The sequence below is a fragment of the Homo sapiens genome, chromosome 2 (genome assembly GCF_000001405.40).
Source record: "Homo sapiens chromosome 2, GRCh38.p14 Primary Assembly".
Lineage (NCBI taxonomy): Eukaryota > Metazoa > Chordata > Mammalia > Primates > Hominidae > Homo > Homo sapiens.
The window spans coordinates 75,208,019-75,223,223 of record NC_000002.12 but is presented as its reverse complement, the minus strand read 5'-3'; the positions used below and the strand labels follow the sequence as shown (position 1 = coordinate 75,223,223).

Below are 15,205 nucleotides of genomic sequence, written 5' to 3'. Positions count from 1 at the left end.
GAATCTTAGTCTTTAAGAGGCATGCCTATTTTTTTTATTTTATTCCTCCTTTCTCTTCCACTTTGCAAAGAAACATTCAGATTCTTATGCTTGCTCTGCATCTTCCTCAACTTTTCATATATACTCTTCTTTATCAGATAGATACACTAAAATGCTGTTATCCTCCACTCATGCTGATATCAGTTTCCATCTCAGAAACTCACAGTACCCGCAACCCAATACGGATGTCAATGGACCTAGAGCATCTGCTCGCTCTTGTGCTCCACCCCCGCCCCCATCCTAATAACAGCTTCTTTTCTTCCAATTGTCACTTAAATGGCAACTCTCAATCAGTTCAGCTAAAAGAAAATAATTTGTTTAAGCCTGTTGGTGACAACTTTCTTCTCTAAAACTAACGCAGACAATCCCTAGGTCATTTACTCCCTAAAGGCATGCTGATGCCTCTCTGGCCCTCTAATAAACAAAGCCTTTGTGTAGCAGCTCTTCGGACAGATCATAGCCTCTGTCCCTACTCTGGCTGAGCAGACCACACTGCCATCCACACCACCTCCAGTACAGAGGGGTCTCACCGCTCAGTACGTAAACATCTGTGTGGAAAATGGCTGAAGTGAGATAAATGTTGCTTAGTGAGAGGAATAACATTCACATACAGTTATAAACTCAGTCAGTACTCATGTTATAAGTTAGAAGTGCTGACGAAAGGTCAAACAGGGTGCCTACACATAAAGCAGGTAGAGCAGTTCTGGCATATATAGACACTGTGTAAGTGCCAGCTGCCTTTCTCTTCTTCTCCTGGCTTCTTGTTATTACTATTTAATTTTTATTCCTGTTTTGTGTTGGGAAGATTTACAGTTTGATGATTTCTGTTCTGTTGCTGCCATCCCACCTCATACTACCTTCCTAAAACCAACTATTTTTATGCAAATCAATCCAGTTTAATACGTATGTATTGCTCATCCACTTGAGTAAAGCACTGTATGGAAGGAGGTGCTAGAAAATGAATAGTAGAATAACATGGTTCCTGCTCTCAGGGAACTACAACCTAATTTGAAAAAGACATAATGCACACCAGACAGTTTATCTTATGAAAGGATGGCTAAGGAAGGGAGCCAGTGACTAATAGTAACTCATCAACTCTGCAGAGAAAGAAGGGAATGCCTCCACATCCGGCTTATGAGGACCTAAACATAGCTGCCATCACTCTCCCTGCCAATGTTGTCCTTCATCAGCCAAGTGGCTTCAGAACTTCAGGGCAGCTGGACGTAAGTGGGCCTTGAGAGCTCTGTTGGAGAGTTGGGCTGAGAGAATGACAGAATTGGGCAGGGCTTCCTCTGGCAGGCTGCGCATTGATGGGAGATCAGGATGGAGACCCAGAGGGAGGACCAAGACAGAGGAGCCTGGGTAGGATATGGCAGTCAAAATGTCTCATGTACCCCATACATATATACACCGACTATGTACCCACAAACATTAAATAAGACAATAACAAATAAATAAAATAAAATTGAGGGAAAATTTAAAAAACATCTGAGAATCGGAGTGGCCATCTGCCCCATGGTGGACCACTGATTCCTTACTATCCACAAGGCCTAGAGGGAGAAGGAAGAATGAGCTAGGTCTCTCTGGCCCTGAGGCAGCAAAATGAAAGGCAGGGAGGCTTTCTGGAGGTATCCCAGCAGAGCTCTGATAACCTGCCAGCTTCTTGATTCAAGTAAGTGAAAGGATGGGAAGGAACTAACCCTAACACTAATCCCCCCAATTTTTTAATGACCTGGGGAATCCCTTAATGCCCACTGTTTAGGGTACACCAACCACCAGACGTGAGCCCTGATGACCCAATAAAGAAAATAATAACCATATCTTAATTATGCATAATGCTGCAATAAACATGGAAATACAGCTATCTCTTCAACATACTGATTTCATTTATTTGGATAAATATCCAGAGACGGAAATGCTGGATCATATGGTAGTTCTACTTTTTAATTTTTTGAGAAACCTCCGTACTGTTTTTCATAAGCACTGTACTATTTATATTCTCATCAACAGTGCACAAGGATTCCCTCTTAATCACAATTGTCAAGATATGGAATCAACCTAATTGTCCATCAATGAATGAATGAATAAAGAAAATTATATATATAATTTTTATATAAATATATAATTTTATATAAATACATAATTATATAATTATATATATAATCCCACTCCATTTTGTGTGTGTACATGTGTATGTACGTATGTGTGTACATACACAAAATGGAACGGAATGTTATTCCACCTTTAAAAAGAAAGAAATCCTGTCACTTGCAACGACATGGATGTTGGAGGACATCATGTTAAGTGAAATAAGCCAAGCACAGAAAGAAAATTATCACATTGTATTAGTCCGTTTTCATGCTGCTGATAAAGACATACCTGAGGCTGGGCAATTTACAAAACAAAGAGGTTTAATCGGGCTTACAGTTCCACGTGGCTGAGGAAGCCTCACAATCATGGCAGAAAGCAATGAGGAGCACGTCCCGTCTTACATGGATGGCAGCAGGCAAAGAGAGAACGAGGAAGACACAAAAGTGGAAACTCCTGATAAAACCATCAAATCTCATGGACTTATTCACTACCACGAGAACAGAATGGGGGAAACTGCCTCCATGATTCAATTATCTCCCGCTGGGTCCCTCCCATGACATGTGGGAATTATGGGAATACAATTCAAGATGAGATTTGGGTGGGGACACAGAGCCAAACCATATCACACATGATCTCACTTATATGTAGAATCTAAAAAAGTTGAATTCACAGAAATAGAGAGAAGAGTGGTGGTTACCAGGGGCTAGGGGGAAGAGGGCATGGAGAGATGTTGGTCAAAGGCTGCAAAGTTTCAGTTAGATAAGAGTCATAAGTTCTGAAGATCTATTGCACGATATGGTAACTATAGTTAATAATAACCTACTATACACTTGAAAATTGCTAAAAGAGGAGACCTTAAATGTTCTCACCGTGGAAAAAATGACAAATATGTGAGGCAATTAATATGTTAATTAGTTTGGTTTAATTACTGCACAATGTATGCATGTATCAAAACATCATCACATTGTACCCCAAAAATATATACAATAAAAAATATAATGAAAACAAAAAAAAAAAGGAAAGAAAATAGCAATGTAAGCAAGGGTACCTCCTAAAAGAGAGCTCCTGAAAGAGCTCAAAGAACACCTGAGTAAAACATAATAATAATGATGTATCTTTAAAGAGATTCAAGTGCAGTAAAAGTAAAACATGATCTTCAGAAGCTAAACAATAACTTTTGGCTAAAATATTCAGTAGCTGTATTGAAAGACACAAAGAAATGGCTTAGAAGATCAAATGCAATAAATACCTTTGAGCACAAAGCAGAAACATAAAAAAAGATAGAAACCATGAGAAAATTTTTGACACCTATAGAATTGCTTTCAATATTTTTTATGGCAACCTATGTTTCAAAAAGTAGAGTTTACATTGAAACCCTGTACACAGAGGAAAGTAATGAAATAAAAGATTTACAAAACGATAATTACCCTTACTGTATCTATTATGCATTCTGACATTTTCTAGTCTGTGCTATCTTATTTTTTTAAGTGCTAGTCACCACCAAGAGGTCAGGAATAGTTTTTAAAACATTCACAGAATGAATGCAGGAGACTTAGTGTCAGGCCTCTGAGCCCAAGCCAAGCCATCGCATCCCCTGTGACTTGCACATATACGCCCAGATGGCCTGAAGTAACTGAAGAATCACAAAAGAAGTGAATATGCCCTGCCCCACCTTAACTGACCACATTCCACCACAAAAGAAGTGTAAATGGCTGGTCCTTGCCTTAAGTGATGACATTACCTTGTGAAAGTCCTTTTCCTGGCTCATCCCGGCTCAAAAAGCACCCCCACTGAGCACCTTGCGACCCCCACTCCTGCCTGCCAGAGAACAACCCCCCTTTGACTGTAATTTTCCTTTACCTACCCAAATCCTGTAAAATGGCCCCACCCCTATCTCCCTTTGCTGACTCTCTTTTCGGACTCAGCCCACCTGCACCCAGGTGAAATAAACAGCCTTGTTGCTCACACAAAGCCCGTTTGGTGGTCTCTTGACACGGACGCGCATGAAATTTGGTGCCAAGACCCGGGACTTGGATCAGGGGACTTCCCTTGGGAGATCACTCCCCTGTCCTCCTACTCTTTGCTCCATGAGAAAGATCCACCTACGACCTCAGGTCCTCAGACCGACCAGCCCAAGAAACATCTCACCAATTTCAAATCCAGTAAGCGGCCTCTTTTTACTCTCTTCTCCAACCTCCCTCACTATCCCTCAACCTCTTTCTCCTTTCAATCTTGGCGCCAAACTTCAATCTCTCCCTTCTCTTAATTTCAATTCCTTTCATTTTCTGGTATTTTCTGGTAGAGACAAAGGAGACAGGTTTTATCCATGGACCCAAAACTCCGGCACCGGTCACGGACTGGGAAGGCAGCCTTCCCTTGGTGTTTAATCATTGCAGGGACACCTCTCTGATTATTCACCCATGTTTCAAGGGTGTCAGACCACGCAGGGATGCCTGCCTTGGTCCTTCACCCTTAGCGGCAAGTCCCGCTTTTCTGGAGAAGGGGCAAGTACCCCAACCCCTTCTCTCCTTGTCTCTACCCCGTCTCTGCTTTTCTGGGGGAGGGGCAAGTATCCCTCAACCCCTTCTCCTTCACCCTTTGCGGCAAGTCCCGCTTTTCTAGAGGGCAAGAACCCCCAATCCCTCATTTCCACACCCCGACCTCTTATCTCTGTGTCCCAATCCCTTATTTCCACACCCCAACCTCTTATCTCTGTGCCCCAATTCCTTATTTCCATGCCCCAACCCTTTCTCTGCTTTTCTGGAGGGCAAGAAACCCCTACCCCTTCTCAGTGTCTCTACTCTTTTCTCTGGGCTTGCCTCCTTCACTATGGGCAAGCTTCCACCTTCCATTTCTCCTCCTTCTCCCTTAGCCTATATTCTTAAGAACTTAAAACCTCTTCAACTCTCACCTGACCTAAAATCTAAGCATCTTTTCTCCTGCAATGCCTCTTGACCCCAATACAAACTCGACAGTAGTTCCAAATAGCCAGAAAATGGCACTTTCAATTTTTCCATCCTACGAGATCTAAATAATTCTTGTCGTAAAATGGGCAAATGGTCTGAGGTGCCTGATGTCCAGGCATTCTTTTACACATCAGTCCCTTCCTAGTCTCTATGCCCAGTGCAACTCGTCCCATATCTTCCTTCTTTCCCTCCCACCTGTCCCCTCAGTACCAACCCCAAGCGTCGCTGAGTCTTTCTAATCTTCCTTTTCTACAGACCCATCTGACCTCTCCCTTCCTCCCCAGGCTGCTCCTTGCCAGGCCAAGCTAGGTCCCAATTCTTCCTCCGCCTCTGCTCCTCCACCCTATAATCTTTTTATCACCTCCCCTCCTCACACCTGGTCCGGCTTACAGTTTCATTCCGTGACTAGCCCTCCCCGTCCTGCCCAGCAATTTACTCTTAAAAAGGTGGCTGGAGCTAAAGGCATAGTCAAGGTTAATGCTCCTTTTTCTTTATCCCAAATCAGAGAGCGTTTAGGCTCTTTTTCATCAAATATAAAAATCCAGCCCAGTTCATGACTTGTTTGGCAACAACCCTGAGGCACTTTACAGCCCTAGACCCTAAAATGTCAAAAAGCCATCTTATTAAAATACACTTTATTACCCAATCTGCTCCCGACATTAAATAAAACTCCAAAAATTAAATTCCAGCCCTCGAACCCCACAACAGGATTTAATTAACCTCGCCTTCAAGGTGTACAATAATAGAAAAAAGTTGCAATTCCTTGCCTCCACTGTGAGACAAACCGCAGCCACATCTCCAGCACACAAGAACTTCCAAATGCCTGAACCGCAGCGGCCAGGCGTTCCTCCAGAACCTCCTCCCACAGGAGCTTGCTACATGTGCCGGAAATCTGGCCACTGGGCCAAGGAATGCCCGCAGCCCGGGATTCCTCCTAAGCCGCGTCCCATCTGTGTAGGACCCCACCGAAAATCGGACTGTTCAACTTACCTGGCAGCCACTCCCAGAGCCCCTGGAAATCTGGCCCAAGGCTCTCTGACTGACTCCTTCCCAGATCTTCTCGGCTTAGCAGCTGAAGACTGACACTGCCCGATCACCTCGGAAGCCACGTAGACCATCACGGACACTGAGCTTTGGGTAACTCTCACAGTGGAGAGTTTTGGGTAACTCTCATAAGCCCGTCCCCTTCTTAATCAACACGGAGGCTACCCACTCCACATTACCTTCTTTTCAAGGGCCCATTTCCCTTGCCTCCATAACTGTTGTGGGTATTGACGGCCAGGCTTCTAAACCTCTTAAAACTCCCCAACTCTGGTGCCAACTTAGACAATACTCTTTTAAGCACTCCTTTTTAGTTATCCCCACCTGCCCAGTTCCCTTATTAGGCTGAGACACTTTAACTAAATTATCTGCTTCCGTGACTATTCCTGGACTACAGCTATATCTCATTGCCGCCCTTCTTCCCAATCCAAAGCCTCCTTTGTGTCCTCCTCTTGTACCCCCGACCTTAACCCACAAGTATAAGATACCTCTACTCCCTCCTTGGCGACTAATCATGCACCCCTTACCATCTCATTAAAACCTAATCACCCTTACCCCACTCAACGCCAATATGCCATCCCGCAGCACGCTTTAAAAAGATTAAAGCCTGTTATCGCTCGCCTGCTACGGCATGGCCTTTTAAGGCCTATAAACTCTCCTTACAATTCCCCCATTTTACCAGTCCTAAAACCAGACAAGCCTTACAATTTAGTTCAGGATCTGCGCCTTATCAACCAAATTGTTTTGCCTGTCCACCCCGTGGTGCCAAACCCATATACTCTCCTATCCTCAATACCTGCCTCTACAACCCATTATTCTGTTCTAGATCTCAAACATGCTTTCTTTACTATTCCTTTGCACCCTTAATCCCAGCCTCTCTTCGCTTTCACGTGGAATGACCCTGACACCCATCAAGCTCAGCAAATTACCCGGGCTGTACTGCCGCAAAGCTTCACAGACAGCCCCCATTACTTCAATCAAGCCCAAATTTCTTCCTCATCTGTTACCTATCTCGGCATAATTCTCATAAAAACACACGTGCTCTCCCTGCCAATTGTGTCCGACTGATCTCTCAAACCCAAGCACCTTCTACAAAACAACAACTCCTTTCCTTCCTAGGCATGGTTAGTGCAGTCAGAATTCTTACACAAGAGCCAGGACCACTCCCTGTAGCCTTTCTGTCCAAACGACTTGACCTTACTGTTTTAGCCTAGCCCTCATGTCTGCATGCAGCAGCTGCCACTGCTTTAATACTTTTAGAGGCCCTCAAAATCACAAACTATGCTCAACTCACTCTCTACAGTTCTCATAACTTCCAAAACCTATTTTCTTCCTCATACCTGATGCATATACTTTCTGCTCCCCGGCTCCTTCAGCTGTACTCACTCTTTGTTGAGTCTCCCACAGTTACCATTGTTCCTGGCCCAGACTTCAATCTGGCCTCCCACATTATTCCTGATACCACACCTGACCCCCATAACTGTATCTCTCTGATCCACCTGACATTCACCCCATTTCCCCAAATTTCCTTCTTTCCTGTTCCTCACCCTGATCACGCTTGCTTTATTGATGGCGGTTCCACCAGGCCTAATCGCCACACACCAGCAAAGGCAGGTTATGCTTTTGCATATACAAAAGTACAAGCTTATAGTACAAGCCACTAGCCCGCCTCTTAGAACCTCTCATTTCCTTTCCATCGTGGAAATCTATCCTCAAGGAAATAACTTCTCAGTGTTCCATCTGCTATTCTACTACTCCTCAGGGATTATTCAGGCCCCCTCCCTTCCCTACACATCAAGCTCGAGGATTTGCCCCACCCAGGACTGGCAAATTAGCTTTACTCAACATGCCCTGAGTCAGATAACTAAAAAATACCTCTTAGTCTAGGTAGATACTTTCACTGGATAGGTACAGGCCTTTCCTACAGGGTCTGAGAAGGCCACCGCAGTCATTTCTTCCGTTCTGTCAGACATAATTCCTCAGTTTAGCCTTCCCACCTCAATACAGTCTGATAACAGACGAGCCTTTATTAGTCAAATCAGCCAAGCAGTTTTTCAGGCTCTTAGTATTCAGCGAAACCTTTATATCCCTTACGGTCCTCCATCTTCAAGAAAAGTAGAATGGACTAAAGGTCTTTTAAAAACACACCTCACCAAGCTCAGCCACTAACTTAAAATGGACCGGACAATACTTTTACCACTTTCCCTTCTCAGAATTCAGGCCTGTCCTCAGAATGCTACAGGGTACAGCCCATTTAAGCTCCTGTATAGACGCTCCTTTTATTAGGCCCCAGTCTCATTCCAGACACCAGACCAACTTAGACTGTGCCCCAAAAAACTTGTCATCCCCACTATCTTCTGTCTAGTCATACTCCTATTCACCGTTCTCAACTACTCATACATGCCCTGCTCTTGTTTACACTGCCGGTTTACACTGTTTTTCCAAGCCATCACAGCTGATATCTCCTGGGGCTATCCCCAAACTGCCACTCTTAACTCTTGAAGTAAATAAATAATCTTTGCTGGCAGGACTATGCTGAATCTCCTTAGGCACTCTCTAATCAGATATCCTGAGTCGTCCCAATTCTTAGACCTTTTATACCTGTTTTTCTCCTTCTGTTATTCCATTTAGTTTCTCAATTCATCCAAAACCATATCCAGGCCATCACCAATCATTCCATACGACAAATGTTTCTTCTAACATCCCCACAATATCACCCCTTACCACAAGACCTCCCTTCAGCTTAATCTCTCCCACTCTAGGTTCCCACGCTGCCCCTAATCCCACTTGAAGCAGCCCTGAGAAACATCGCCCATTCTCTCTCCATACCACCCCCAAAAATTTTCGCCGCCCCAACACTTCAACACTATTTTGTTTTATTTTTCTTATTAATATAAGAAGGCAGAAATGTCAGGCCTCTGAGCCCAAGCCAAGCCATCGCATCCCCTGTGACTTGCACATATACGCCCAGATGGCCTGAAGTAACTGAAGAATCACAAAAGAAGTGAAAAGACCCTGCCCTGCCTTAACTGATGACATTCCACCACAAAAGTGTAAATGGCCGGTCCTTGCCTTAAGTGATGACACTACCTTGTGAAAGTCCTTTTCCTGGCTCATCCCGGCTCAAAAAACACCCCCACTGAGCACCTTGCGACCCCCACTCCTGCCCGCCAGAGAACAACCCCCCTTTGACTGTAATTTTCCTTTACCTACCCAAATCCTATAAAACGGCCCCACCCCTATCTCCCTTCGCTGACTCTCTTTTCGGACTCAGCCCACCTGCACCCAGGTGGAATAAACAGCCTTGTTGCTCACACAAAGCCTGTTTGGTGGTCTCTTCACACGGACGCGCATGAAACATAGCATGCCAGCAATAAAATTCCCAAAGGAGAAAAAAAGGACCGATGAAGAAGAGGTAGTAATTTCAAAAAATACTAAAGGAATATTTCTTTGAGATGAAGAAAGGACTCACCTAGTTTCATGCTGGATTTAAAATAAAAGACTCACATATTTCCAAACTTGCTTGAAGATAAGACTTATTCAGGGGACTTGTTAAAAACCCAGATTGCTGAACTCCAGCTCAGACAAACTAAATCAGAATTTTCAAGGGAATATAATAATGTTTATTTAATAATCACCTCAAGAGCTTCATATCATCTGATAATTTGGAAAACATTGGACCTATTTTAAGTTCCTCAAACCTTAATGTGCATATAAATCAATAAAATGCAGATTCTGGTTGAGTAGTCCTGGATCTGTTCAAGAATTTGCAACCAATTCCTCGTAATGCCAGTGCTGCTAGTTCAGGGACTAGGACTGAAATTATTTCTGGCTATAGTTGAAGATGAGATGCTTCTAACTTCATTTTTTAATACAAAACACTAATTCTAAAACCTGATCAAGAGAGAAAAGTAAAGAAAAAAATCTATACACAATCTCACATAGAGAAATAGATGCAAAAATTCAAAATAAAGCATTAGCAAGTTGAATCTAGCAATATATCAAAGGAATGACTTAGCCTCTGACCAAGCAGAACTGACGCCAGGAATGCAATGGCGGGTCAGTATTAGGAACAGCGTGGGGAAGTATATCCACTTAATCCATTATGTCAGTAAGTTAGTGGAAAAACTTACACAATCATCAACAGATTCTGAAAAAGGCATTTAAAAATAAAAGAAATAAGCCATTTCTATTAATACTTCAGAGTAAAAAATAAAGTAGAAATAAACTATAAAACATAAAGATTATTTAGCAAATTTAATAAGAAATATTATTCTAAATGGTAAAAAAAAAAAAAACTAAAGCAACATTAATTTAAATTTGAAACCTATGCAGAAATACCTGGTATCTTTTTTTTTTTTTTTTTTTTTGAGATGGAGTTTCGCTCTTGTTTTATGTTTGTAGAGACAGGGTTTCACTGTGTTGGCTAGGCTGGTCTCGAACTCCTGACCTCAGGTGATCTGCCTGCCTCAGCCTCCCAAAGTGCTGAGATTACAGGCGTGAGCCACCATGCCCAGCCCTTGGTATTATTTTGAATTTAACATTGTCTTGATAAGGTAAAGGAAATTAAGTGAGACAAGAAAATACTAGTTATGTGCTTGAAAACTAGGGAAACTCAATAAACCACTAGAATAAATTCAAAAATTAGTAAAATGGCTAGGATATACAGCATATACATACATGCATAAATGCACACACACACATGCATAAACACACACACACACACAGAAGTCAATAGGTTTGATCTAACAAAGAAATGGAAAAATGTATTTCATTTACAATAGAAACAGAACCAACAAAATACATGGAAATGAAGTTAATCAAAAGACTAAAATTATTTTAGCCAACATTATAAAATCATTTTTGAAAGATATAAAATGAGACCTAAAGAAACAGAAAGGCATATCATGTTCCTGGATGAAAAAATGTAATATCAAAAATATAAATATTGTCAAAATTAACAAGTAAATTTCAGACAGTTTCAATTAGAATACTAATTCTACTGCAGTTTAGTCCCCTAAAATCTTCCAGAAATGAAGCCAGTCAACTGGCACGGGGTGTTTAATTGAATAAAAAATATTCAAGTTTAAATGTCGTTCCCAGAAATAAATAAGAAAAGCATTCAATGACCATTCAGGTGAACTTGTCTTACCAAATATCAGAATCTTTATTCCTGTAATAGTCAGGATGAGTTATTGCATGGTGAGTAACAAATTAATCCAAAGCTCTGGTGCCTTAACACAACAAAAGTTTATTTCTTGCTCATGCTGCGTGTCCGTAATGATTTGACAGGGGTCTGTGCTACACAGTCACTTGGCAATTCAAGGTGATAGAGACCTTCCATCTTGTAGCTGGATCATTTGGAACAAGGGGGCTTGGTAGAGGAAAGAGAATACATGAAGTAGTCTCTTTGTCTTTCTCTCTTTCTCTCTCTCTCTCTCTCTTTCTTTCTCTCTCTCTCACACACATACACACACATTTTTATGCTTCAGACTAGAAGTGACATACGTCATTTCCACTCACAACATATTGGACTAAATTAGTCACATGGCTCTGCCTGATTGCAAGTGATAGGGAAAGTAGGAAATTATGTGGTATATATAGCAATGCCATAGGAATAGACAAATGGATCAGTAGGATGACTGGAGAATATAAATATTAAATCACATATGTTTGAAAACTTAATCTTTGACAATAATAATGGTTTAATTCACTAAGAAAATGAATGCAGCTGTCAAAACCAGCTAACCACATGAAAGAAAATGAAAGTAAATATGTTCACTTCCTTTTAATCATATACAATAATAAAACTCCAGGTGAATTAAAGACCTATATGCAAAAAATAAGAAACCACCAAGAAAATCTGGGACACTATGTAAAAAAAGCCATACTGGAAAAGCTAAATACTATTAAAGCAAATATGACTACATAAAAATTGTGTAAGTTTTTGTGACAAACGTATCAATTCAAGAGAGAAATAATAGCATTAGAAGTAAATATCTGAAATATTTATGAAAGGAAAAGCGTTTATATCTGTAAATATACAAAGAACACTAAGGAAAAAATGACTAGAAAGCAATTCAACAGAAAAGGGGCAAGAGATGTGAATAAACAATCTATAGGTAAGAAAATCCAAATAACCGAAAACAAAATAACAACAACAAAAAAACTTAAAGAAGTTCAAATTCTGTAGTAGTCAGGAAAATGTACACTCTATCATAACAGTGTTACAATATTTTATAGCCAACAGACTGATCAAACTAACAAGCCTAGTAACTGGAGTAGATGTGGGGAAAGGATAATCTTAACTGCTAGTAAAATATACAGATTGCCTTTTTGAAAGGCAATCATTTAAATACAAATAGAGTCCTGCCACACTGCCACTGCCACTGGCATGAGCACACACAGGAACACTACAACCCTGCTCCCCCTGGTATCCCGCCCCAGCCTATACACATGCACCCTGCTACACTGCTGTGGCTGCTGGCATATGCGAGTAAGCCTGGATCCCACTGCCATGTCCCCAGTGAAGCGCTTTAGCCAGCACCACTCATCAGAGTGTTGTGGCCAATGGACTGAGAACACCTCAGCCCCTCCAGTGCAGAAGGTTCTTAACCTTAAGTGATCAGAGAACAAAGCCAGAAGACTGCTACCAGCCATGCAGAATTAGAGAATGCAGCCCAGGAGTGCTGAGCTGAGCCTTAGTTTCCTAAAATCGTCCAGAAGTGAATCCAGTAGACTGAACCCACATTACGCCAAAATCAAACCTCCAAGGGCATCATAGAAGAGAAAAGCAAAATAACTCATCCAAAGGATAGCAGCTTCAAAGACTGAAGAAACATCAGCTCACACAGATGAGAAAGAACCAGCACAAGAACTCTGACAAATCAAAAAGCCAGTGTCTTCTTACCTCCAAATAATGACGGCACTAGTTTCCCAGAAATTGTTCTTAACCAGACTGAAATGACAGAAATATAATTCAGAATATGGATAGGAACATAGATCGTGGAGATTCAGGAGAAAGTTGAAACCCAATCCAATGAATCTAAGGCATACAATAAGACAACGTGAAAGATTATATGGCCATTTTAAGAAAGAACCAAACTGATCTGATAGAACTGAAAAGCTCACTGCAAGAATTTCACAGAACAATCGTAAGTATTAACAGCAGAATTGACCATGCTGAGGAAAAAACTTCAGAGCTTGAAGACTGATTCTCCAAAATAACTCAGTCAGACAAAATAAAGAAAAAAGAATATGGAAGAATGGACAAAACCCCCAAGAAATATGGGGTTATGTAAAGAGACCAAATCTACAATTTATTGGCATCCTCAAAAGAGAGAGAGAAAGCAAGCAACTTGGAAAACATATTTGGGGATATCATGCATAAAAATTTCCTCAACCTTGGCAGAGAGGCCAGCATTCAAATTCAGAGAATGCAGAGAACCCCTGTGAGATACTATACAAGGTTACCACCACCAAGATACATAGTCATCAGATTCTACAGGGTTGAGGAAACTGGCAGATAGGAGGCAGGACTAACATGCAACTCCCTCTTGGACGGACACAGCAGTGTGTGGAGACTCATACAATTAACCTTTGCTCCAAGAACTACTGCAGGAACACACCAGGAAATCCAAGAGAATCCACAGACCTCTTTGAAAGAGGCAGCTTACCACTGCAGGCCCCATGGGACAGCTGAAAAACTGCGAGTGTCTGTAGAGTGTAAGGGAAAACATCCACCCCCAAACATACATCCTCACAGGGAAAACTGAAAGTCCAGATCATAGCAGGAGTATTTGACCTTACCTGGGGCTGAACCAGAATTTGAAAGCTGAGCAAAAAATGCAGGGAGAGGAAGCAGTGGGAAGAGCCCTGTGGGCACTCTCGGTCCCCAGGGAAGCAGTTTCTGAGTTTGTCTCCCAGGTCTTTGGGGAGGGCTGCCAGTGTAATTGAGGAAACACCACAGAGAGAAGAAAACTTCCAGGTGAACTTTGTAATAATTTTGACTGAACATGAAGTTTCCTGGACGGAATCTGGGGAAGGGGGTAAACGCGGAATGCAGATACAAGCACAGAAGCCGCAGCAGGTGGGGAGGTGCAAAACCTGAAAGCCCTGTTTGCTTTTTCAGAGGGAAACCTTGCGGCCTGGGGCAACATCTCAGCCCTGCTTCTGACTGCCTAGAAATAAACTCAGTGCTGTTGCAGGGGCATGATGGGAGTGAGAATGGCCTTGCAGGCTGTGTGGGAATTGTGTGAGACCTGTCACTTGTCTGACTGCCCTGGCCAGAACTTCCAATACTATGTTGAATAGAAACACATCCCATGCTCGTGGGTGGGTAGAATCAATTGTGAAAATGACCATACTGCCAAAAGCAATCTTCAGATTCAATGCAATTCTCATCAAAATATCACCATCATTCTTCACAGAACTAGAAAAAACAATCCTCAAATTAATACGAAACCAAAAAAGAGCCTGCATTGCTAAAGCAAGACTAAGCAAAAAGAACGAATCTGGAGACATCACATTACCAGACTTCAAACTATGCTATTAAGTCCATAGTCATCAAAACAGCATTGTACTTGTAAAAAAAATAGGCCCATCGACCAATGGAACAGAATAAAGAACCCAGAAGTAAACCCAAATACTTAGAGCCAACTGATATTTGACAAAACAAACAAAAACATAAAGTGGGGAAAGGATACCCTATTCAACAAATGATGCTGGGATCACTGGCAAGCCATATGTAGAAGAATGAAACTGCATCCTAATCTCTCACATTATACAAAAATCAACTCAAGATTGACTAAAGACTTAAATCTAAGACTTAAAACCATAAAAATTCTAGAAGATATCATTGGAAAAAACTGTTCTAGACATGGGCTTAGGCAAAGACTTCATGACCAAGAACACAAAAGCAAATGCAACAAAAACAAAGATAAATAGGGGGACTTAATTAAACTAAAAAGCTTCTGCACAGAGAAAGAAATAATCAGCAGAGTAAAAAGACAACCCATAGAGTGGGAGAAAATCTTCGCAAACTATGCATCAAACAAAGGACTAGTATC

General features: G+C 41.7%; 1 long non-coding RNA gene across 2 annotated transcripts in view, besides 4 other annotated features; it reads right to left on the bottom strand.

Annotated features, from left to right (window-relative positions):
• Positions 1 to 15,205, bottom strand: part of TACR1-AS1 (TACR1 antisense RNA 1) — a 125,490-nt gene that overhangs the window by 56,584 nt on the left and 53,701 nt on the right. The gene's annotated exons all lie outside the window — the stretch shown is intronic.
• Positions 3,430 to 4,177: an enhancer, noted in NCBI's record as "OCT4-NANOG hESC enhancer chr2:75446173-75446920 (GRCh37/hg19 assembly coordinates)". NCBI's record gives its function as "activates a minimal SCP1, AML or CMV promoter by ChIP-STARR-seq in naive H9 embryonic stem cells {active_cell/tissue: H9 hESC(naive)}" and the evidence as "EXISTENCE:reporter gene assay evidence [ECO:0000049][PMID:30033119]".
• Positions 5,366 to 5,541: a silencer, noted in NCBI's record as "fragment chr2:75444809-75444984 (GRCh37/hg19 assembly coordinates)". NCBI's record gives its function as "represses an EF-1alpha promoter that drives an FKBP-Casp9 reporter gene in an ReSE screen in phorbol 12-myristate 13-acetate-treated (for megakaryocytic differentiation) K562 erythroleukemia cells {active_cell/tissue: K562(+PMA)}" and the evidence as "EXISTENCE:reporter gene assay evidence [ECO:0000049][PMID:32094911]".
• Positions 5,574 to 6,073: an enhancer, noted in NCBI's record as "H3K27ac hESC enhancer chr2:75444277-75444776 (GRCh37/hg19 assembly coordinates)". NCBI's record gives its function as "activates a minimal SCP1, AML or CMV promoter by ChIP-STARR-seq in naive H9 embryonic stem cells {active_cell/tissue: H9 hESC(naive)}" and the evidence as "EXISTENCE:reporter gene assay evidence [ECO:0000049][PMID:30033119]".
• Positions 8,465 to 9,465: an enhancer, noted in NCBI's record as "NANOG hESC enhancer chr2:75440885-75441885 (GRCh37/hg19 assembly coordinates)". NCBI's record gives its function as "activates a minimal SCP1, AML or CMV promoter by ChIP-STARR-seq in naive H9 embryonic stem cells {active_cell/tissue: H9 hESC(naive)}" and the evidence as "EXISTENCE:reporter gene assay evidence [ECO:0000049][PMID:30033119]".